Source organism: Homo sapiens, chromosome 1, assembly GCF_000001405.40.
Source record: "Homo sapiens chromosome 1, GRCh38.p14 Primary Assembly".
NCBI lineage: Eukaryota > Metazoa > Chordata > Mammalia > Primates > Hominidae > Homo > Homo sapiens.
Genome location: NC_000001.11, coordinates 100,398,801 through 100,424,168, shown reverse-complemented (window position 1 = coordinate 100,424,168; position 25,368 = coordinate 100,398,801). Strand labels below are relative to the sequence as shown.

The following is a 25,368-nucleotide window of genomic DNA, read 5'->3' as shown; positions in this document are numbered from 1 at the left end:
TTACTCACCAAATTTGCATTTCACTTCCTCCACTTTGAGTGACAGCTGTTACGGTGATAGTGTTGATCTTTACAAAGCAACAACTTGCCAACATTTCCTTTTCAGCATGAAGCTGCGCAGCAGCCTTTGTCTTCTCCATGGGTAAGCTTAGAGACAGAGGGCAGATCCATGAAGAGGCCATCCCAGGCTCTTTACAAAGGCACACTGAACAGACACAATGGCAGCGACAGTTGTACCCTCATAATATACCGTGTGCTCACCAAAGACCAACGCACACCTCCCTGACCTTCATCGAAGACCTGAGGTGAGTTATTTCAGTGCCTGGTAAATTTTGAAAGACTTCTCACAGTGAGCACAATATCCATGGGGTATCTACTGAATTTTCAGCCTACTCTTGAGGAAAGCCAGTGTTGCTCTCTAGACACTCAATAAAATCACAATAAAATGGGTGAAAATGTGTATGGGTAAGAGTATTGGAAAACATATTATCTTGGATTTTGATACCAAAGCTACTTAAATCCCTCTAGTCTGACAAGATGAACTAATCTTAAAGACACAAACAAAAAAGGATTCCTTAAAACCAGTGAACAACTCCCAGGTAATATACATAGATACTGAGTATATAGTATATGCCAGGCACTGTATCAGGTACTGGCACCTCCCTTAATAGAATTTATGCTTGTGGGGCAAAGACAATAATCAACAAAAATAAATACAGTCTAAGGTAAATGCTGAAAAGTAAATAAACAGGGGCCTGGAAAGCAGCTACCTGAGTCAAGGTAGTCAGGGAGGGGTCTCTGGGTGATGTTCAGGGTAAGATCTAGACTCTAGATGGGGAGAACCACAGGAAGAGCTAAGGGGAAGGAGGAATGGCTATCCAGGCATGAGAATGACAAAGACAAGTTCCCTGAGGTGGGAAAGAGCTTGGTAAGTTGGAGGAAAAGGAGGTCAGTGTGGCTAGGACTGAGAGAAGAGGACAGGGGGCGGGAGAAAGCCAGGCAGTGGCCGGAATGTGAAGAGCAATACAAACCACTGGGAGAGCTCAATTTTATTCCAAGAGCAATTTAATTTTTTAATTCTGAGCCGATGGTCTTGGTCCTTTTCCTCTATAGTCAGAAACGAGCTTAATTCCTACAATCTTCTCTACCTAAAATTAGTGGCACTATTTCCTTAGTATGTCCCAACATCAAAACCCTATGCATTTCAATGACAAGAATGGCAGAGTCTTGGTTCTTAACAGTAGGGTTTTCCTCTACTTACAGACCTTCTTTGAGCTTTAAGCTATTTCACTAGGAATATATTACATGTTTACTTATTAATATTTCAGGACTAGAAAACGAGTCCATTCTGAGTTTTCTAAAGAAAGAAAAATAAAATAAATAGATTAAAAATACTAACTTTAGTAACAAAACCCCATATTCATTTGGCAAGTAAACATGAAGGTCTGATAAAGCACACACCAACCAAAGCTTATTGAGTGTGAAACAAAAAGCAATAGAAAGGAAATAACTAAAAGTGCTGCCAGACAAGAGGCACAGATTCTAAAAATGGAGAATTGTCACTCTAGTTGCAGCTCAAATAATTACAAAACTCCATTTAAACCAACACTAGCTCTAAAGACCATTTTCAGTAACCAACATTACAACAGGTTTTACTGTACCCTAAGGGGTAGGTTATATAACAGAATTGGTTATAATGCAGTGATTTCTTAAGCCTAAAGATGCCGCAGTATTTGAAAGGTGACTGGTTGCTAAAAGGGAGGGCTGCTTGTAGAAAGCTTCTGTGTGTGGATTAGATAATTAAAGCTTAGACAACAACCTTTGAAAAGCAAAAATGCATTTTCCTCCCCAGGAGCAATTACGTTAATTCCCTTTAATTTGGAGGGAGTCATTCTGCAAGAGGGAGGCACCAGCCCACATGGAATGCTTCTTTAGATTGGCTACCCCACAGGGCTTTGCTCCTCATCTTACCTGCATGACTTAGCACACATGGCCCATGTTCTCACACTGCAAGATGAGACCCTTTGTTTTTATTTTTATCCCAGTGCTCAATTATTAATAAGTGCAAAGTGAAACCCAACAGAGGCCATCTAAATTCCAGGAAGATTCTTGGGGCATCTTTTACAGGTTGACCTTTCACAACCTGAAGGTAGGTATTTGGGCAAAGTGGGGAAATGTTCTCCTGATGAGTGAGTGCATTACTGCATGAATGCATGCTGGGTCATTAAAATACCAAATTCGATTTTTCCAGGACAAAATATGTCACATATTCTTATGCCAGATCTTCTTAGACATGTCTGCTTATTAAAAAGAGAGAGAGGAGAGAGACAGACTAGGCTAGATTAAAGCTCAGAAGAAAAGTGACATTTAGTAAGAAAGGTAAGGAACTTTCCAAACTCGCGTTGTTGCTCTAGGATGAAAACAGAATTCGAACAGTGGGCTGACTCCAAAGCCCACAGCAATTTCATCATATCTGCCTGAAAATATAAACTCAGTTGGTAGCATAGGTCTGGAAAAAAGGTTTCCACTCTTCCAAGTTCCTAAATGCCATTTCATTCCATTTGATTTTAAAACTTAGGGGACTTCAAACTGTTAACAGTTTGTAGTCACATTTGAGGAAAAGGGCAGGGGAAGGATCAGAAGGAGAAAGAGGAACTTTCTACCTTATAGTTCTACTATCAACACATTGTCTTTTTCACAGACATACACAAATCTGTTTTTTAAATGTGAAGTAAGTAAATTAGTTATGCAATGTCAAATGTGTACTCTTTCTAAAAATAAAATCCATATTTAATGCTCGAAAATTTGTTGCCAGATATTCTAATATTTCTAAAAATATTTTTGCCTTCTCTCAGCAGAATCATAAAAATATTTTCTGAATGAAATTAATTTCAAAGCATCTTCTAAATATCTTGATTTTTTCTCTTGTGCTCCTAAGGGGAAAGAAAGAATATGCTGTCTACTTTTCTCGCTAGGTATTAACATATATAAACCCAAACCAGAACTTTCCCCAAACTTTTGACTAATACAACTTAACAAAAGCATTTGCACAGATAATGTTTGGTGTACCACATCATTTTAGTGGGTGGTACATGCACGACTTTGATAAAATTGCCCTACTTTTGCCAAGAAGTCCTAGAAACCATATTAATAATATAGCATTTAACATATACTTTTATTTTTAACTGAGCAGGAGTCACCCAATTAAAGTGACTTTTTTCTGTTTAATTAACTTCCAGGTACCAAGAACTTAAATAACTTTTAGTTTCTTTAATAAAAGCTTCTTAAAGAGCCAGTATCTTAACATATATATTATCAACAGCTATGAGGTTTTATTAAACAGCGTAATAAAATTTACCCTACTACAAACCAGCACAATTTATATTGTTTACCAGTAAGCCAATGTTGCCCATTAGTTAATCATGCACTTTCCCAACTTCTGCCGTAGGTACCACCATGTACTACCATTCATTCTTTTTAAACACACATTTACTTTTGACTTAAATCAATTTGATGTAAAATGTTTTATATCATTGCTATAAATGGGAAAACCCGCCACTGAGTCTATACATAAATGAATATTAAAATGCATAACTCTTATAATTTTAAATATTTGTGTTTACTACACCGTGAGAAACAATGTAACAAATATCAAGTCTGTACTAATTTTATAGAGGAACACCAGACCAACATGAGAAGTTATATAGAATCCTCTTAGAATTCATCTGCAAATACTTCTAAATCATTTTTTTAAACTAAATCCTGCAGTCATTAAATCCTTAATACCTGCTCCAAAATAATATGTGAATTTCTGAAGCATTTTGGAATTTACAACTGTATTTCTCTACTCAGATAATTCAACCTCTCTGATACACAAGGGGAGATTCTTAAAACAATAAATGGCTTCATAGAGAAGTCTCAACCAGACTCTGGGTCATGAATTTGCTAATGATCTTTCTCTGGGGACATTTGCCTCAAACTTTACTATGTTTTTAGCTTTGTTTTTAGGTGCTATTTTTCCTCCAAAAAAAAAAAAAAAAAAAAAAAAACCTTTTCAGCAAAGCATAACACACACACACATACACACTATATATATATATATATATGTGTGTGTGTGTGTGTGTGTGTGTGTGTGTGTATATATGTATATATATATGTATATATATATATATTTAAAAGTGAAATCTGTGCCCCTACATTAATTATATTTATATTTTGTGACTTGGAAAGTGAAAATACTCTTGAGGATTCAATTTGGCCATCTGAAAGAGTATTCTTCAATTTTATTTGTTTAATATTTTACTTGTGTGAAAAAGAGGAAACAAATGCTGACAATAGCCTTTCCCAGGTAGGTGCTGCCACTGGAACATTGGCACGATAGCTTTGAAATTAACATTTCAACCATGTCTTAGTCAATTAAATTCCTTCAAAATACAATTTCCAGAAAACTGATGTTACAACTTTAAAATAGTCTTAAAGCACTATGATTTACCAAATGTGGAAGACTTATGCCAAAAAAGGAGAGACTCCATTTACAAGTTTCAGACAACTAGGTTTAGAATACACAGAATACTAACTGTGGACATTACAAAGACATCACTATGATGTGTGCTTTGGGCTGAAGCCCATTAATCAGCAGAAATGCTGAGTCCTTTCCTTAGCACTGTGTAACTTACAATTATCATGCTTGCAAAACTGCAATTGAGGATGGGGGTGGGCAGATATAAGAAGAAAATGTTTCTTTTACTGGTGAAGCTAACCAGTGCAGAGCACTCACTTGGCTTGAAACTACCGCACCCTAACTGGCTGCTCCCAACATCCCCCTTTCTCATGAGGGGTTCCTCCCAGTCAGCCAGACCCAGAATCTCAAAAGTCATCTTTGACCTTGGCCTCTCCATCACGTGATAGCCACATCAAGTCAATACCCAGACTGATTATCTCTTCACAGTCACAGTCAGTCTCTCTCTTTTTATTTATTTTATTTTAGACAGGTTCTGGCTCTGTCACACAGGCTGGAGTGCAGTGGCACAATCTCAGCTCACTACAACCTCCACCCCCAAGGCTCAAGCCATCCTCCCACCTCAGCCTCCCAAGTAGCTAGGACTACAGGTACACACCACCACATTCAGCTACTTTTTTGTATTTTTCGTAGAGACAGGCCTTCACCATGTTGGCCAGGCTGGTCTCAAACTCCTGGCTTCAAGTGATCCACCCGCCTCAGCCTCCCAAAGTGCTGGGATTACAGGCGTGAGCTACCACTCCTGGCCATCCACAGTCTCTTTCAATTATGGGGTAGATCCAGGTTTGGGAGCCTGAAACACATCATTTGGGGAGCAAAGACGGAGGATACAAACATCTTTTCATATTTTACAAAAAATTTTCCCTTCAACAGCTTGAGAGACGGAACTAAGCAAGAAAAGGCCCTGAGTCTTAAATTTCATTAGTTCCGCAGTGAACTACCTGGACCTTTCTTCCATGACAATCATCATCACGTTATTTCAAACCCTTATCCAAACCCTTATCACCGTACTCTAGGACTAACACCATTTCTCTCTGCCTCCACCTCCTGCCTACTCCAGTAGTTCCAGAGCAGGGCTCGGAAAGTCTCAACCCTGCTCAAAAAGCCCAGTCCAGACTGCCAACCCTTCACCAAGATATCGTCCCAGCCTGCCTTTTCAGGTAAATTTGTCATTTTTCCTCAAATGAACCCTACCCGCTAGCCTGGACTCCTCACCCTTCCCTAAACATACCTGATATCTCTGGTATTTGAGGTTGTTGTTGTTTTTCTGGAATACTTTCCTCACCATTTCTACCTATTAGACCTATATTTCATTAGACCTAAACTCAAATACTATGTCCCATGATGCCTTTCTTCTCCAACTCAGAACCTTTTCCCTTACCCTTTAGACTCCAGAATATGACACTCAACTATAGGTGATAATGATCACAATAATGACAACAATAAAAACAAAAAGTTAACAGTATATACCATGTGCCAGGCACTCTTCTAGGCATTGTACATAACTTGGTTCATTAATCCTCACATCACCCCGAGTTAGGTTCCATTATTATTCCCATTTTCATTTTACAGGAAAAGCACTGAGAATTAGTTGCTCAAGGTCACACAGTCAGTCTGGCTCCCTCATAGAAACTCATAAGCACATCCTGATGGGCCCCTCACAGCTCTTTTGTAATTAGTTTCCTTTAGACTAAAGTGGAAAGCTTCTGGAGCTCAAGTAACCAAGCTTCCCATACCTTTATAAACCTTCAGATGCCTCCTGTCAGATAGATGCTCAGCAAAAAACCTATGTTTAATGAACAGCTACTTTAAACATATAAGGATAAGAATGCATCTACCCAAAAGGGTTAATTCAGCTTAATTAATAATTGGTGAATGAGATTTTAAAAGACTATATCACTACAACTATAGTGGGAATGCCCAAAAGAGGGGTAAAATGAACTTTCTCAGCCCAGTTGTATGAAAGCATCAAGCCAAATAGAGTCAATTCACCAATGATGTGCTTCAAGAGAAAGCAATAGACTGATTTTAAAAAATAAAAGCTCTAGGTCATATGATTTGTATTTGCTTATAGAAAGTATTTAGTCAAGGCATACTCCCTCATCCAAATATTCACTCTCCCACTTCCTCTGTGTCTATTCTGAAGCCACACTCAGCCACTTCCAACATGGGATACAACGCAGCCAGCAGGAGGTGGAACAGAGCACAAATCACCACAGATGACTGTAATTCAATCAGCATATATATTTACTTAACGCTTACAATTTGCACAGGAACCTGCACATATACGAGGGCACAGAGATAGTCTGAAATCTCCATTATGGAGCTTAAAGACACTGACTTCAAGGACTCTAAAGGGGGCTGGGAATGGCCTATGAAGTGACCAGACTCAACCTGAGCCTACCTTGCATCATCGCAGTGTTTAGATGCCACCTCCTCCGTTTCCTTGGGATCACAGCTCTAAAGTGAGACAGTCTTTTTGGCAACCCAATAAGATCAGGCCCCTGCCTTATGTTCTCAAAGCTCTCTGCCTTCTCCTTCAAATTCGTATACCAGTTTGTTTCTGTGGTTATTTGATTGAGCCTGTCTCCCCAAGTAGGCTGTAAGACTAATGACAGCAAGGTTTCCATCTCTTTTTTATCTGCAGGACTCAACACTATGCCTGGCATGTAGCACACACTCAAAAAATGATGGACGATTGCACAAATAGTGGGCGTTTTATACGAGGGGAAGCATGACATAGACACAGGTTCTTTCCCCATTAGTGGCATGAAACTAACCCTCTATGCTTCCATTGCCTTAGGTATAAACTGAGGATAATAATTGTAACTATCACATAAGGTTGTTTGTCGGGAAGAATAAATGAATTAATAATGTATGTAAAGTGCTCAAAATTATATCTAGCACATAGCTCTTCTACAGCAAGGGACAACAAAAAGGAGATAAACTTTGGTCCCAAAATGTTTTTTTTCCTTTCCACCATCTGTCTCTGGGTGAATCTGGACCCACACTGTTATTATTTCTCACACCTTCACCCTAAAGCCCGTCTATGTATACAAACATCAGAATATGAGGTTGTAAATGTCCCTAATAAGACCATGATTTAGTTCAACCCTCTGATTATAGAGTACAGATGTTGATCCTACTCTCAGTTCTGCCTCTTTAAACAGCCTCCCTAGTCTCCTGATGCCTTAGTATCAACATCCATAAAATAAATGCCACTGGTCCCTGCTTTACCAAACCCATTATCAAAATATCAGAAGATCCCTGAGGTGGGCCATGTCTTTCTGCAACAAAGTACATGAAATAAGAAGCGAGTTACTGTTACTAGCACTGTATTCATTTTTTCTATTTGAATGTCTCATGAACAAAAGAATTAGATTCCCAAGTTGGATTTGTTTTTAGGAAAGGAAAGCACTCACCAGTTACCTGCAAAGAATGAACCACACAAGTCCATGAAAAGAAGTCCAGCATAGAAACAGAAGTCCATCATAAAAATGCACTGCAAGGCAAAAAACTCTGCAAAAAGCTGAAACATAAAACTTTTAAAGTCTCTTCCTTGGCTCCCAAAACTTGGTTCTCAGACTTCTTAAATGTCAGGGCACTTAATTTATAAACTGTTTTTTCCTAAAGACAGCATTAATTGTGATACACAAACACAAACAAATTGTTTAATTTTGTTATTTTTAGCAACATTATTTTCTTAATCATTTCCTCCCATTATATCCAGTGACTCAGAAAACAATATCTACATTCAACTTTATAATTTTTTAAAAATAGGAAAAAGTTATACATTTCTCAAATGCATAAACAATTCCACTTTGTTCTAATTGCTTGTGGAAATAGAAATATTCAATGTTAATCACATATGAATTAGGAAAGTCAGTCTGATTACAAATCAGAAACACAACTGTATTTAAAACTTGTATTATATTCAGTCTATTTTAAATCTATCATGCTAAATAGTCTAATTAAAACAGAGTAAGAATGAATGTCTTTTGTTTCCTACAGTCTTTGGTTGAACATGTTGTAAAATAAAGTCATTCTTCCTGTTCTTCAAGTTTTGAGTCCATTATAAATCACAGATTATGAAGTCAGCAAAGCATAAGACAATATACCTGCTTAACAAATATGGAGGCAAGGCTAATCATAGAAGTTAAGCAGAACCTGACATCAGGTCTCTATAGACATCACTTATTTCTACCCTAAAAATACTTAACAATTTTCAGTATTTGAATCCTCATGAGAATGAGGTCTAGAAATGAGTATGTTTTTTGTTTGAGGTGCTGTTTGCTCTGAAATACCCTCATGTGACATCTCTTTACAGTTTAATTTGAAGCTGGGATTTAACATACAGTCAACAAACAGCAGACTTTATTTATTTGACAATTCGTTTAGAATAGAAATACTCTCTCACCCCTCTCATGGGTATAATTAGAGTGAAACCAGTGGGAGCTTTTTGATGGGCAATTTAGGGAGAATGGCAGACAATATTAGCCATGTGTGTCTTCCCATCTAATTTGATTACAACCAGAATTTTCATAATCAGCCTAAAAAGATATCCTTCCAGAACTGACAGCTACAGCCAGCACAAATGCACATCTCTTGCTAGCATTGTCTCAGTGACACAATGCTTCTCTTCTGCCTGAGGTGAGTTCATGTACCAGCATAGACCTCACTGAGCTGGTTGTGTGACAGTAAACTAGTCCAACCCCTTATAAAGCAAACAAAGGAAACACCAAGCCAATGTTCTTAACACACAGAAACCTAAAAGGACACGTTAATGGGGGAAAGGAGAAAATGTGTCGCCCCAAAATAACCTCAGTCCCTTAGTCTTACGCAAGCTGAGCAAAATACTGTTATGTTACAACATGCAGCTAAATATAACCCTGTAGAACATTTATCATTCATCATCAAAAGGTAGTCCTTATATAAAACGCAAAAACAGACTCACTCCAGAATATCACTTGAATAATACATACTCCCAAACTGAATGGTTTCATGTTAAAAACTCCTGGTGCTGAGTTTCACTGCTTACTTCTGGGTATATCATGAGCTTCATTTCATAAAACTTTCCAAATGAAGAAAGAAAATGAAAAAAAAGTATGTTATTTAAACCCAGGACTGAATTGGATCAAGTTTACAAGGCAAGGAACCATAACTTTGTAATGAAGATGGTGACGCAGATCCACTGTAACAGACCAGGACTGGATGTTTAAATCCTCTTAACACCTGTTAGCAATTATAGAAAGTCTTTAAATTGCAAATACATTATACTCCAAACATTTATCTGTAAAAGATAATATGCGGTTTTTTGTTTTGTTTTGTTTTCTGTTGTTGTTGTTTAAAGTAGAGATGGGGTCTACTATGTTGCCCACGCTGGTCTCGAACTCCTGGGCTCAGGCAATCCTACCGCCTTGGCCTTCCAAAGTGTTGGGATTACAGGCATGAGCCATTGTGCCTTGCCAAGGATAATATTTTGACTTCTGGAAATATTTTCCCAAAGACAAAATCTTAGGATTTTAAGTTTCCTAAGCTAGTCCAAACATGATAATATATTCACTATTATCATTAAAATCATATATCTAAAATAAAATGTAGTAGAAGACACTATTTTCAAAATTAAAACTAAAATAATTAAGTAAGTGTGTTAGTTTCTTAAGTTAATTATCTTCCCTCAATGCTAATACTTGAGGGAAAGCTAAATTAGAAAAACTTGAAGAAATCAAGGAATACATCTATAATGGCTTTAAAGTGAACCCTGAATTATTTCTAATGTTTTGATTGGTACTTAATTATATACAATTCTGCTTCAAAATGCATAACTTTCCTCAGTATTTGGCATTGTGATTACAGCTGATTTCAAATCTGAGGCAGTGGAAAGCAGGGCAAATATGAGAGGAAATTTTCTTGCTGTCACTGGAAGGAAAGTAATTGAGGAGAAAAGTGAACAAGAAAGATCATAAACTTTCTGGGAATAACAGGAGGAAGCCTACCAAACTTGCCAGGGATGGAACCAAACTTGTGGGGGTTGCTTCCCATGTACTTATGGCAACTTTAGGCAGTCTGTGATCTCCTCGAAGAGAGAAGGTGGTAGACCAGCAACCCAATGTATTTATTTTAGTAACTAGAGTATATACTTAAGGAACTGTACATAGAATTGTTTTTAAAATTAAAATTTTAAGAAGCCTTTTCATATATAGTCATTTTATTCTTTTTCAAATTTCAGGAAGTTTACAGGTGAGATGTTATCCAAACTTCTAACACAAAAGCCACAAAGCATGTGAACTAAATCTCAGGTCTAGAATCATAGTAACTTGTAAGCTACTGTTCTTTGAACTCACTGAAGAATAGAAAACTAACAATGCACACAAACAAGGAACTGGTTGTTCTCTTCCAGTATTTACAAGAGTTGTTGCTTAGAGAAAGCAGGAGAAACAAGAGTTTTGCCCATCAGTCAGGTGTTTGCAGAAAAGATTCTGTGGCAATTTTTCTGTGCATTAGCCCCAACTGTTCAAACATGTGCCACATGACAGTATTGTCCTTCGAGAAGATAACAGAAATTAATCATCCTTTTTTCTTTTTTCTTTTCTTTTTGACAGTTTCGCTCTTGTCACCCAGGCTGGAGCGCAGTGGCACGATCTCAGCTCACTGCAACCTCCATCTCCCGGGTTTAAGTGATTCTCCTGCCTCAGCCTCCCAAGTAGCTGCAGAATTAATCGTTCTTAAATGTGCATAGATTTTTTTAAGTAAACATGTTCCCTACATACTTTAGCTTACTAACTTCCACAAACAGCAGAACTGAAACAATTACAGCTTAAATAAAAGTAACTTAAACCCAATCAACAGATCCATTGCATACATACTATATATATATATATAATATATATATATAAAATATATATATATAAAATATATATATATAAAATATATATATATATATATATATATATAAAACATACAGGAAGTTCACCCACCTTCCCTGCAGTAACTGGGAACTTCCCTCCTATTCTGGCTCACTACTGTAGGCAGACCTCACTACTTCCAGAAAACAGCCCCCCTTCACCCTGGCCAGCAATTTCTCACCCCCATCTTCCTATGAGCAACAAGACTTGAATGGCAGGTTTCCTGGTAGTAAGGAAAATGAAGAAGGAGGAAGGAAAAGGAGAAAAACAGAGAGCTTTCCACAGTTCTACACACCAGGTAATTCATTTCTTCATTCAGCAAAGACTTACCAGTACCAAGCACCATGGATAATACCAAGAACAAAGCAAGTATGTTCCTGACCTCATGGCATATCCCTTGTATATCATTTCAGATCTAATCCCAGGAGATCCCCCACTTTAAGTACTCCTCACAAAAACCTTTAAAGGTTAAGTAATCAGAGCATTATGGCAGAGTAGCATAAGAGAAATCGGAACGATACAGATAACTGTACCATGGAGAGCTTCAAGTGACATTCTAAAAGGTGAGTTTTTAAAGTGTTTTTAAGTGTACGTCAGGTCATTTCAGCTCCCTAAGAGACCCACAGGTCACGAAGAATAAAATTCGAACTTGCTCTCACATACAAGCCCTAGCAGAGACTTTGGCCTCATCGCCTGCATTATAGCCTTTTTAGCCACAGCAGCTTTGTCTTGGTTCCTCAGCCTTTCCTAGTTCATTCCCACTCTAAAGCCTTTGTATGTGTTGTTCTCTGCCTAGAATGTTCTTCCTCTTTATCAGCATCACCACCCCAAAGAGGGCATCTCTGAACTTCCAATCTGAAGTAGCCAGCCAGTCACCAGCACATCACCAACTTGCCATTATCACTGACCTCTTATTTGTTTGTTTCTCCCAGCAAAATCTAAGCTCTGTCAGGACAGGGATTTTCTCTCTCTTGTCCATTACCATATCCTTAGAGCTCAGAAGGGGTGTCTGGCCCAGGTGCTCAATGACTGTTTGTTCAATGAAAGAATGAACAAATGAATCACACAAAAGGAGAGAGGAAAATACTATTTCCCATTAAAATGAAGAAAGAGTTTTTATTAGAAGGGAAGGCCACAGCAGCCCTCTACTACCCTCTTTTGACTAAACTTCCAGGAAATTCATTACTAAGTTTTGGGCTTCAGTAAGTCAGAGTCAATTTCTGTTACACACACCCAAAAAACTCCGACAGCCAACTAAGAAAGGAGGAAAAGGAAGGAAAAACAAACCAATAGGAGATTCCTTTCATTCTTGTCTGAAGAAAAAAAACTTTTTAAAGCAATAGGAGAGAAGTGATCAGAACACAGGAAGGAGAAAGAGATGGAACCAGTAGGAAAAACAAAAACAAAAATGGAGAGGGAAAGGTACACAGAGACAACAAGAAAGAGTGATAGAGGAGAAAAGAGGTAAGCGGTTATTCACACAACAGTGTTCCCTTGCACTATGGGTGTCGAAGTAAGCTGAGGGCTGCGAAGGTAGAGGCAAAGGACTGGAATGCCAATAATATAGGAGGCTCTTGGGCCTGTCAGTTCTGCCTCCTGTGACAAGTTAATTTATCCAGGTTTACCAGTATGGTGAGGATGGGGAGTGGAGAAGGGTGGGCTGGTTAGGTAGGTCAGGGAGAGATCTTCTCTAAGATGTATCGGTTCCTATAACTGAACAAAAAAAAATCACTATACAGCTCTACCAGAGCAGTTCTTCAGAGGAGAAATTATTCTCCGCATTGCTAGAGTAACACAGTAAAAGTCAGAGACCTCCAATCTCATCCTGAAGTTCTTGTACTTAACCTGAGGTCTAGATCAACCAATGTTCCTTAATAAAAAGGAGCAGGAGAGAGATAAAAATTTTTTAAATTGAATTAATAGCGAGAATTCGGTGATCACCATCGTGGTTAAATCCCCCAAATTTTAATTGTAATAAAAGGATCTTAACAACTTTAATTTCCTCTATTAATTCAGAAGTAAAATATTTTCATCAGTACACATGTGTAAAGTCTAATATACTTTTTAAACACAGCCCAATGCCAGGATATTCCAAATGTTTTTGGGTTTTGTTAAAAATTTATATATCTGGCCGGGCACAGTGGCTCATGCCTGTAATCCCAGCACTTTGGGAGGCCGAGGCAGGCAATCACGAGGTCAGGAGTGTGAGACCAGCCTGGCCAACATGGTGAAACCCTGTCTCTACTAAAATACAAAAATTAGCTGGGCGTGGTGGCATACACCTGTAATCCAGCTACCCGGGAGGCTGAGGCAGGAGAATCGCTTGAACCTGGGAGGCAGAGGTTTCAGTGAGCTGAGATTGTGCCACCGCACACCAGCCTGGGCAACAGAGCAAGACTCCGTCTTGGAAAAAAAATGATTTTAGAAACTTTTAAAATGTTATCCCCATTTTGTCACTATTTTCATTACATTTCAAAGATATGTTTCTTGGGGAAAAAAAACTAAAATAAAAATTTTTTTTTCTTTTTTTTTTTTAGCCAGAGTCTTACTCAGTCACCCAGGCTGGAGTGCAGTAGCACAATCACAGCTCATTGCAGCCTCAAAGTTTTGGGATCAAGCAATCCTCTTGCCTCAGCCTCCCAAGTAGCTGAGACTACAGATATGCACCACCACACCTGGTTAATTCTTTTTTATTTTTTATACAGACAAGGTTTCACTATGTTTCCCAGGTCCCAGGCTAAAAACTTAAAATTTGACTCTGGATAAAATACATAGCTTGCTGCTAAAACTCCAACTCACTTGCAAGTACTGATGAATTTCTCAAAATTTCAGACATTTTTGAAGGGAATATAAATACTTTACCACATTCAAACTGATGAGATTCAAGGATTCTCCAGTTCCTATTAGGAACTGATAACTATTAGGAGAGTTATCACATATTCCTACATTCTTTGAACAGGATGGGTCCATTCCTATGTTTTAACAAGCAGTTGATTTCAAATTGAAAGCCTTGCAACTGCAACCTTGGTGACAGGAGTCAAGGGCAGGACTGGATGTGAGATATGGAATCAAAGGAGATCACTTTGGAGCTTTAAGATTTGACAGCTCTGCCGTATTTTGAACTTGCATGGGGCCTGTAGCCCCTTTGTTTTGGCAAATTTATTCCACTTGGAATGGCTGTACTTACCCAATGCCTGTACCCCCATTGTATCTAGGAAGTAACTAACTTGCTATTGACTTTATAGGCTCATAGGTGGAAGGGACTTGCCTTGTCTCAGATGAGACTTTGGACTATGGACTTTCGAGTTAATGCTGAAATGAGTTAAGACTCTGAGGGACTGTTGGGAAGGCATGATTGGTTTTGAAATGGGAGGACATGAAATTTGGGAGGGACCAGGAGTGGAATGATATGGTTTGGCTGTGTCCCCACCCAAATCTCATCTTGAATTCCCACATGTTATGGGAGGGACCCGATGGGAGGTGTCTGAATCATGAGGGCAGGTCTTTCCCGTGCTATGTTTGTGATAGTGAATGAATCTCATGAGATCTGATGTTCTTAAAAAGGAGAGTTTCCCTGCACAAGTTCTCTTCTCTTATCTGCCGCCATGTGAGACGTGCCTTTCACCTTCTGCCATGATTGTGAGGCCTCCCCAGTCATGTGAAACTGTAAGTCCATTAAGCCTCTTTCTTTTGTAAATTGCCCAGTCTCAGATATGTCTTTATCAACAGTGTGAAAAAGGACTAATACAGGGGATAAGGAGATATTTGTTAAAGGATATAAAATTATAGCTATTAATAGATAGGGTAAGTTCTAGTGTTCCATACCACTGTAGGATGACTACAGTTAACAGTAATATATGGTTTCAAATAGCTAGAAGGAGGATATTGAATGTCCCCAACATAAAGAAATTATAAATGTGTCAGATGATTGATATGCTGATTGCCTGGATCCGTTCTGATCACTATATATCACATGTAGCAAAACCTCATTATGTGGGCAAAGGACATGAGCAGACACCTTTCAAAAGACGACATACATGCAGTCAACAAGCATAAGAAAAAAAGCTCAGTATCACTGATCATTAGAGAAATGTAAATCAAAACCACAATGAGACACCATCTCACACCAGTCAGAGTGGTTTTTATTAAAAAGTCAAAAAATATAACAGATGCTGGTGAGGCTGCAGAGAAAAGGGAACACTTATACACTGTTAGTGGCAGTGTAAATTAGTTCAACCATTGTGGAAAGCAGTGTGGTGATTCCTCAAAGACCTAAAAACAGAAATACCATTCAACCCAGCAATCGTATTACTGAGTATATACCTAAAGGAATATAAATCATTCTGTCATAAAGACACATGCACATGTGCATTCACTGCAGCACTATTCACAATAGCAAAGACACGGAATCAACCTAAATACCCATCAATGGTAGAATGGATATTTAAAATGTGGTACATATATACCATGGAATACTATGCAGTCATTGAAAAGAATAAGATCATGTCCTCTGCAGGAACATGGATGGAGCTGGAGGCCATAATCCTTAGCAAACTATTGCAGGAACAGAAAACCAAATACTGCATATTCTCACTTATAAGCTGGAACTAAACGATGAGAACACATGGACACAAAGAGGGGAACAACAAACACTTGGGCCAACTTGGGGATGGAGGCTGGCAGAGGGAGAGGAACAGAAAAAATAACTATTGGGTACTAGGCTTAGTACCTGGGTGACTAAATATTCTGTACAACATACCCCTATGACACAAATTTACCTCTACAACAAACCTGCACATGTACCCCTGAACCTAAAATAAAAGATTTTTTTAAATAAAAGCATTACATGTACATTTTAAAAAAACATCAGTATGTATCCCATGAATATGTACAATTACGAAGTCAACTTAAAAAATAAAAATAAATATAAATTTTTAAAATAGCACAGACAGACACTATGTTAAGTACTGGAGATACAAATACGAGTGAGACACCACTCCTATTCAACATAGTATTGGAAGTTCTCGCCAAGGCCATCAGACAAGAGAAAGAAATAAAGGGTATTCAAATAGGAAGAGAAGAAGTCAAATTATCTTTGTTTGCAGATGACATGATCCTATATCTAGGAGACACCATCATCTCAGCCCAAAAGCTTTTTAAGCTGATAAGCAACTTCCACAAAGTCTCAGGATACAAAATCAATGTGCAAAAATCACTAGCATTCCTATACCCCAACAACAGGCAAGCAGAGAACCAAACAGTGAATAAACTCCAATTCGCAATTAGCACACAAAGAATAAAATACCTAGCAATACAGCTAACAAGGGAAGTGAAGGATCTTTTCAAGGAGAACTACAAACCACTGCTCAAAGAAATCAAAGAGGATACAAACAAACAGAGAAACATTCCATGTTCACGCACAGGAAGAATCAATATCGTGAAAATGGCCATACTGCCCGAAGTCATTTATAGATACAATGCTATTCCCATTAAACTGCCACTGACATTCTTTATAGAATTAGAAAAAAAAACTATTTTAAAATTCATATGGAATCAAAAAAGAGCCTGAATAGCCAAGATGATCCTAAGCAGAAAGAACAAAGCTGGAGGCATCACGCTACCTGACCTCAAACTGTACTACAAGGCTACAGTAACCAAACAACATGGTACTGGTACAAGAACAGACACAAAGACCAATGGAGAGAATAGAGAACTCAGAAATAAGACCACCCACCTACAAACATAGGATCTTCAACAAACCTGAAAAAAGCAAGCAATGGAGAAAGGACTGCCTTTTTCTTTTTTTTTTTTTTTTATTTGAGACAGAGTTTCGCTCTTGTTGCCCAGGCTGGAGTCCAATGGCACGATCTCAGCTCACTGCAGCCTCCACCTCCTGGGTTCAGGTGATTCTCCTGCCTCAGCCTCCTGAGAAGCTAGGATTACAGGCACCCACCACCAAGCCTGGCTAATTTTTTTTGTATTTTTAGTAGAGACGGGGTTTTACCACTTGGCCAGGCTAGTCTTAAACTCCCAACCTCAGGTGATCCATCCACCTCTGCCTCCCAAAATGCTGGGGTTACAGGCATAAGCAAACGTGCCTGGCCAGAACAGCCTTTTTAATAAATGGTGCTGGGAGAGCTGGCTAGCCATAAGCAGAAAATTGAAACTGGACCCCTTCCTTACACCTTACACAAAAATCAACTAATGATGGATTAAATACTCAGATGTAAAACCCAAAACTATAAAAACCCAGAAGAAAATCTATGTAATACCATTCAGGACATAGGCAGGGGGCAAAGACTTCATGATGAAAATACCAAAAACAATTGCAACAAAAGAAAAAATTGACAAATGGGATCTAATTGAACTAAAGAGCTTCTGCACAGCAAAAGAAACTATCATCAGAGTGAACAGACAACCTATAGAATGGGAGAAAATGTTTGCAATCTATCTATCTGACAAAGGTCTAATATCCAGAGTCTGTAAGGAACTTAAACAAATTTACAAGAAAAAACCAAACAACCCCATTGAAAAGTGAGCAGGGGATATGAACAGACACTTCTCAAAAGAAGATATATTTGCGGCCAACAAACATATGAAAAAAAGCTCAACATCACTGATCATTAGAGAAATGCAAATCAAAACCACAATGAGATACCATCTCATGCCAGTGAGAACGGCTATTACTAAAAAGTCAAAAAACAACAGATGCTGGTGAGACTGCGGAGAAAAATGGACATGTTTACACTCTTGGCAGGAGTGTAAATTAGTTCAACCATTGTGGAAGACAGTGTGGCGATTCCTCAAAGACCTAGAGGCAGAAATACCGTTTGACCCAGAATCCCATTACTGGGTATATACCCAAAGGAATAAAAATCATTCTATTACAAAGATGCATGCACGTGTATGTTCACTGCAGCACTATTCACAATAGCAAAGACATGGAATCAACCTAAATGCCCATCAATAATAGACTGGATAAAGAAAATGTGGTACATATACACCATGGAATACTATGCAGCTATAAAAAGAAACAAGATCATGTCCTTTGCAGGGACATAAATGGAGTTAGAAGCTGTTATCCACAGCAAAGTAACACAGGAGCAAAAAACCAAACACTGCATGTTCTCACTCATAAGTGGGAGCTAAACGATGAGAACACACATGAACGCATAGTGAAGAACAACACACACTGTGCCTCAGAGGAGGAAGAGCATCAGGAAGAATAGCTAATGAATGATGGGCTTAATACCTGGGTGATGGGTTGATCTGTGCAGCAAACCACCATGGGACACATTTACCTATGTAACAAACCTGCACATCCTGCACATGTACCCCAGAACTTAATAAAAGTTGAAGAAAAAAAAATATGTAAGAGTTATCCCTTTACTCAAAAAGCTCATTCTTACAAGGGCGAGTGTGCAAAGCAAGTAAGTACAAGGAGCTCATCCTAGTAGATCATATTATGTGCAATTAATTGCAAAATGAAGTAAGAAAAGCTATAAATGAGCCATGTTCTAAGTCAGATAGTAAGAAAATGACAGTGAAGAGCTGGGAGGCAGAGAGTGAGGGGTAGGCAGAAAAACTAGGGAGAAAACATCAGGAAAGGTTTATCAGAGAAGGGAATTATGGTTTCTTAAATTAAGAAATTTCCCAAAGCAGGCCCACTAAATGACTCGTACACCCACTCTTGAAAGAATTGTCTGATTCATCCTACAGTATGTATATTCACATGGAAAGGCTTGTCTGTCTGCTCATTAATTTGAAACTATGAACCACAAATATTATTTCTTATTAAATAACTCTATGAGGTACTGCAGCCCTCCTAAAATATTTCTTTGAGGCTGAGGTTACACTTTCCCAGTCCTACTATTTAGTTTTTTGTTTTGTTTTGTTTTGTTTTGTTTTGTTTTTTTGAGACGGAGTCTCGCTCTGTTGCCCAGGCTGGAGTGCAGTGGCTCAATCTCAGCTCACTGCAAGCTCCGCCTCCCGGGTTCAAGCGATTCTCCTGCCTCAGCCTCCCGAGTAGCTGGGAATACAGGCACCTTCCACCACGCCCAGCTAATTTTTTGTATTTTTAGTAGAGACGGGGTTTCACCATGTTAGCCAGGATGGTCTCTATCTCCTGACCTCATGATCCACCCGCCTCAGCCTCCCAAAGTGCTGGGATTACAGGCGTGAGACACCACGCCAGCCATCCCACTATTTAGTTTTATTACCCATGAATTTGCTGTATAACTACACCCCTGGCTTTAAGTCCTCATCAATTAAAAGTTTGAATTTCCATAATGAAAATTCAAAGCCCCTACAAGCATTTGTTACGGGGGTTTGGGAAGATAGGCACAGGAAAAGCAAAGCTAAGGCAGAAGAGCAACAAGGAAGAAAATTAAGAAAGACACAGAGACAGAGTGTTGGTGACGTGGGAACCTAGTAGTTTACATGGCCACAGTCTGTTTTTTAGCATGGCAACCCTATTTTGAACACTAAAAATCTTAGAAATAACTGAACACACAGCAAACTCAACAGCAGTTGCAGTTAGCTCTTTTTTTTTTTTTGAGACGGAGTCTAGCTCTATTGCCCAGGCTGGAGTGCAGTGGCGCTATCTCAGCTCACTGCAAGCGGTTAGCTCTTCTTTTATTTAAAATTTCAGAAAGTGCTCATGAAGAGGGGTTTAATGAATTTATTCACTTTCCAAAATAGGGGAAAGGCCACAATTTTACTCACTCTATCAAATAGAAAACATTTCTTGAAATAAAAATTTACATAAATTAAAATTATTCAATCAAGAAAACCCTTATAAACCTAAGGTTTAAGATTCGATGTCTTGAGGTGAATGGGACATTATATAACTTTTCAGCCCACACTTAGAAACTAAGCCCAATGAGATACTAAAATGACAGACCCAGTAAGGCAGGCTCAGCGCTGGCTCCTCAGGGCCCACAACGTTGACCTAGCTACAGGCTTCTCAATCAAGGTTCTCCCAAACTGAATCAATGCACATTTTGGTTGCCAGGAAGAAGGGAGGAGTATGAGAGGGCTTTAAGGGTAACACAGTGATTCAAATGAAAGTGAGATAAGAAAAGATAAATCATATTATTTGAAGGCTTAAAACAAACTCAGATTTTCCCAAAAAGTCAAGTACCAACTGAATAAAAACCATCCAGAGACAGGTATGCATCTTGATGTTTAGAGAGAGCAGTCTTCAGAATACTTTCAGTTTTCCTTAAGCCATTCATGTTAATTGCAAACTAGCCTAGATGCAGAGCAATCAAACAATCACCTGCTCATTCAATGCCAAAAATCAATGCCCTAAGAACATTCAAGAACCTTCTGGATCTAAGCACAGTAAGTAGATTCTCCAATGGCTATGTTTTGCAGTCTGCAGGTTACAACCCATTAGTGAGCAGTGAAGTCAATTTGATGGGTAAAGACATATTTTAAATAAAATAGAACAGAATATAAAATATCAGTATGCTTTACACCTTGTAAGAATTGTTTCATGAACCTCTTGTTTCAATTATACATGTGAATGGCGTGTGTGTATGTGTGTGTACTAGGCTGCAATGTAAAATGTGTTTCTTATGGTGAATTACAGTGAATAAAGCTTGGAAAACTCTGTCCTAAGATACCAGCCCAACCTACTTTATATCATTCCTTGCTTCTCTTATCCCCCTATCACTCCTTGCACTTAGACCTACCCCAACACATCCATGGACATCACCAAAGTAAACATGAGAACAACCACCATTGTCCCTGGTTGGTACACGAAAGTTTTGGCAGTGTTAGCCCCATTAGCCAGAATCAAAGCTCAGAAGCTACCTGGAAAAGAAACTGTATGACTAGTGTATTTGAAACACTACAACACTGCTTTCTAAATAGAAAATTCTACTCTTCCACACTGCATGCTGTTTCTAATCTTTTTGCAGACTATTATGGTTTAGATGTAGTATAATATACCAAGACCAGCAGTGCTCGGTGACATGCTATATGACTGGATAAAGCTCCCAGCTAGAAACTTAGGGATCGGGGTTCTAGTCCTTCTCCATTAGCTGGGTTTGATCTTGGACAAGGTACTCGACCTCTCTGGGTTCAGATTCTCCAACTGAAATATGACAAAGCAGGACTGCAGAAGGGTTCTTCCTAGTGAGTGTTCTGTGGAGATACTTCACCAGTCTTGCAAAAGTGGGTCTTTTTTTTCTAATTAAGATGTTTATTTTTAAAACTAAAAGAAAACAGTAAACACAATCAAATACATTCAATATCAAATTTTACCATGCTGCAATTACCAGGCAGCCAAATAACCTCATTTTTCAAAAAATTTAAAGAATTACCTTCAGTTTCTGTATATATTCTAGTAAACATCTCATTGATTGGAAGCCTGTAGCTCTGCATGGGGAATACGTCTAAATGTGAGCCTGCTCTGTTCAGATATTTGTATAAAATGGAACACTGATAGTCCTCACTCGGGTAAATGCCAGGTGAAGCCTAGGTAGACATGTACAGAACATGCTCTCATATCAGGCACGGCAAACAATTTCAAGTCACACTCTGATAATGGATAATGTCTTCAGGGCTTTGAGTACCTCCTTTCCGATTTTTTTTTTTTTCATAATGAATGCATGCAGCTAAAAATTTTCAAGATCCAACTCTAATTAAAAATTTTCTAGTATTCCTCTTTCAAGCATATGAATTACTTCTTTTTTTTTTTTAATGGAGTTCTGCTCTTGTTGCCCAGGCTGGAGTGCAATGGCGCGATCTCGGCTCACCACAACCTCCGCCTCCCGGGTTCAAGTGATTCTCCTGCCTCAGCCTCCTGAGTAGCTGAGATTACAGGCATGTGCCACCATGCCTGGCTAATTTTGTGTTTTTAGTACAGACGGGGTTTCTCCCTGTTGGTCAGGCTGGTCTCGAACTCCCGACCTCAGGTGATCCGCCCACCTTGGCCTCCCAAAGTGCTGGGATTACAGGCATGAGCCACCGTGGCCGGCCCCATGAATTAATTCTTAACTGGAAATTATCCTGAGACTGCAAGGATGGCTGTTAAAAAAATCGTTGACACTTAGTAGCAAATACTTATATGTATAAATAAGTAGTTTCACCTATTGAGAAAAACAGAAACAATGCTGAGAGTAAAATTAACATTATTATCCACAATATTAATTTCAAATGTTTGTATGTACAGTATTAACAAAGCCCATTTCAGTTCTATATAACACACTTTGTTTTACTCAGTAACTTTAAGAAAATTAGTTAATGCTTTGCAACACTGATTCTTGCTGTTATTTTTACAATTAGTACCGACTTCATAATTTATCTTTAAGCACATCACAGGTTTTAAATTACTCCATATTAAACTTCCACAAAACTGTGGAAGTCAACCAAGACTTATTTATCAATTAAACAGTCATTCATTTCACAAACACTTATTGAACGCTTAGGATGTGTCAGACATTGTTCTAGATACTGGGGCTATTGTGGAAAATAAGACAAAGTCCTTTCCCTTAAAGGGAGAGATAATAAACTGGTAAATAAATAATTTCAAGTGCTAAAAAAAAGTACATCCCCTTAATTCAGTATATATTGTTTGAAGTAGCAAAAACCGCAATTACTTTTGCACCAACCTAAAATGAAACAAATGGATGTTAGCTTCTTCACACAGAAAGTATATGTTATTCCAAAGCTACTGATAAGATTCAGAAATTTGTGAGTAAATTACTGTAAGCATACACAGTGCATCCCTACTAAATATATAGTACTAAATGCAGTGAGTATGTATGCCTGTGTGTGCAGCTGTGTATGTGTATATAAATTTGAGAGCTTATTTACAACACAAAGGAAGTTTATTATCAGGATGCCAAAAGAAAAAAAGAAAAAAAAACTGAAAAGATTGATGCACCTTAACTTGATAAATCTTCCAGTAATGAAAAGCAAACAGCTAATTTTCCTCGCCCACAGCTAAATGAAACAGGCAAGAAAAGTTAAGAGGTGACACTGCTCTACCCATATGCAGAAGGCTAACAGAATGTCCAGTCTCAAAGAGTCTGAAATTGAAAATGCTGTATGAGTTTAAGGAGCCTGATCTGTTTCAAAGCCACCAAAAATACAAGCCTACAAAGATAAAAGACTGGCCCATTTACAGGCAACATCACAAAAGAGTTGCCTATCAAACTACAAAAGGAAGGAACTGCAAACAGGAAATTGCCCAGCCCCAGCCATGTGCCTCCCCTCCCTTCCTCTCCACTAACTTCTATAAGCAGAAGCAAACACTGCCGTTAGATTTACCAACAAGCCACAGAGAAGGATGACAGAACACTAGTAGCTGACATCTAATATATTATTGGTTCAATAAATATTTAAAGTAAATGCCTTTATTATTTTGAACCAACTTTTTGATAATTTTACCTACATTTTAAATGACATTTATTTAATCTACAGTTTTTTAATGTCAATGTAAAGTAGTTCTGAAATCAGAATTTACAGAATTGTGAGTCAAAATATAAGCAAAATAATATACTTGGTCCAAACAATAAAAACAAAAACAAAATCACAGTTAATTGTCTGGGTATATCAGTGTCCAATGATTTAAACACACACACTGTAACCACTTTTAAATAATACTGTTCTGTTAAAATTTCTGTATACTCAGCAGACGGCTTAATGTTCAAAAATCAATAGGTCCATTATCAGCAGTTCCAATTAAGCACATTTATATTCAGGTATACAGAAGTATTTAATAGAGCATTCTGACATTCTAATGAGTAACAGCAGGAAAGGTCTATGGACTTCCTAATTTTTTACAGAAACTTGGACTGATGGGCATGATTTCTAGTAGTCTGTATCTATTGAAACAAATAGACACAGATAAAATGACTTCATCTTTTTTTTTTTTTTGAGTCAGGGTCTGGGCTGGAGTGCAGTGGTGTGATCACAGCTCACTGCAACCTCAAACTCCTGGCCTCAAGCAATCCTCCAGCCTCAGTCTCCAGGTAGCTGGGTCTACAGGCTCCCACCACTGTACCTGGCTAACTTACTTTTTTAATGGAGGCTAATAGCACTTATCCACTCTAAAATGGTCTAAATATAGGAAACAAATATAAAAACACAAAGTTTTCAAACAGTTAATAAATCTATAAATAAAAACATGAGAATAATCAACCTCATTAATCAAAAAAATGATTACTAAAACAATGAGGTAGCATTTTTCACCAATTAAATTTCTAAAACTGTAATGTTCATACCCAATATGCAAAGTTTACATGAAATTGGAGATTTCACATAATACCAAATTTAGTATAAACTTGCTTAAGTATAGCAATATGCTCCAAGAGTCTTAAAAACTCTGAAATTTAAAATTATTTACCCTATTTCTGGCACTCTAAAGACAAAAATCCACGAAAAGAAACACTTATAATATAGAAAGAGATGTGTTACATTATAAAAAATTTTGAAAGAAATCTAAAATGTTAAACAATGGTATTCTCTCTAAATGAAATATTATTTGGTCACCTGAATAGCAAAATGGCAAAACATACATAGGCTAAATTTTAAAAGGCTCAAAAAACTACACTGCAATCACACCTAATAAATAATTCAGGTTTAGAACTGCGAGAGAATTTTTCCACATTTCTTCTACAATGTGGTTACTCCACTTTTTAAAGTTTTTTTAATTGTAAGGGAAAAAAACACCCCTATCTTCTCATTAGATTATCCCCTTTTCAAAACGGACATTTAAAATAAAATTAAATTAAAAATTTAAAATAACTAGTTTTCTTCCAGCCTCCCTTCACTCCCCTACCACCAGAAAAAGCATCATCACCTTCATGCTATTCTCCCTGTCTGATGGTTCCTCAGCAACCTGGCCTGCTGGGATTGACCATCTTGGAACCTCCCCTCTCTCCAGGTCTGAACCCAGCCCTCCACACCCACACCAACAGGCAGGGAGTCA

General features: G+C 38.1%; 1 protein-coding gene and 1 long non-coding RNA gene across 8 annotated transcripts in view; one reads left to right on the top strand and one right to left on the bottom strand.

The window, feature by feature from the left end:
* CDC14A (cell division cycle 14A) overlaps positions 1-25,368 on the bottom strand; it is a 175,277-nt gene that overhangs the window by 96,109 nt on the left and 53,800 nt on the right. The gene's annotated exons all lie outside the window — the stretch shown is intronic.
* On the top strand, positions 97-15,033 carry LOC105379827 (uncharacterized). 2 transcript variants are annotated; one of them, XR_007066254.1, is made up of 3 exons: positions 97-304; positions 5,579-11,986; positions 14,988-15,033. It is a non-coding gene; the product is annotated as an uncharacterized LOC105379827 (long non-coding RNA). The 2 variants fall into 2 exon arrangements; XR_007066255.1 differs by lacking the exon at positions 14,988-15,033 and having other exon boundaries at positions 5,579-11,721; positions 11,837-13,402.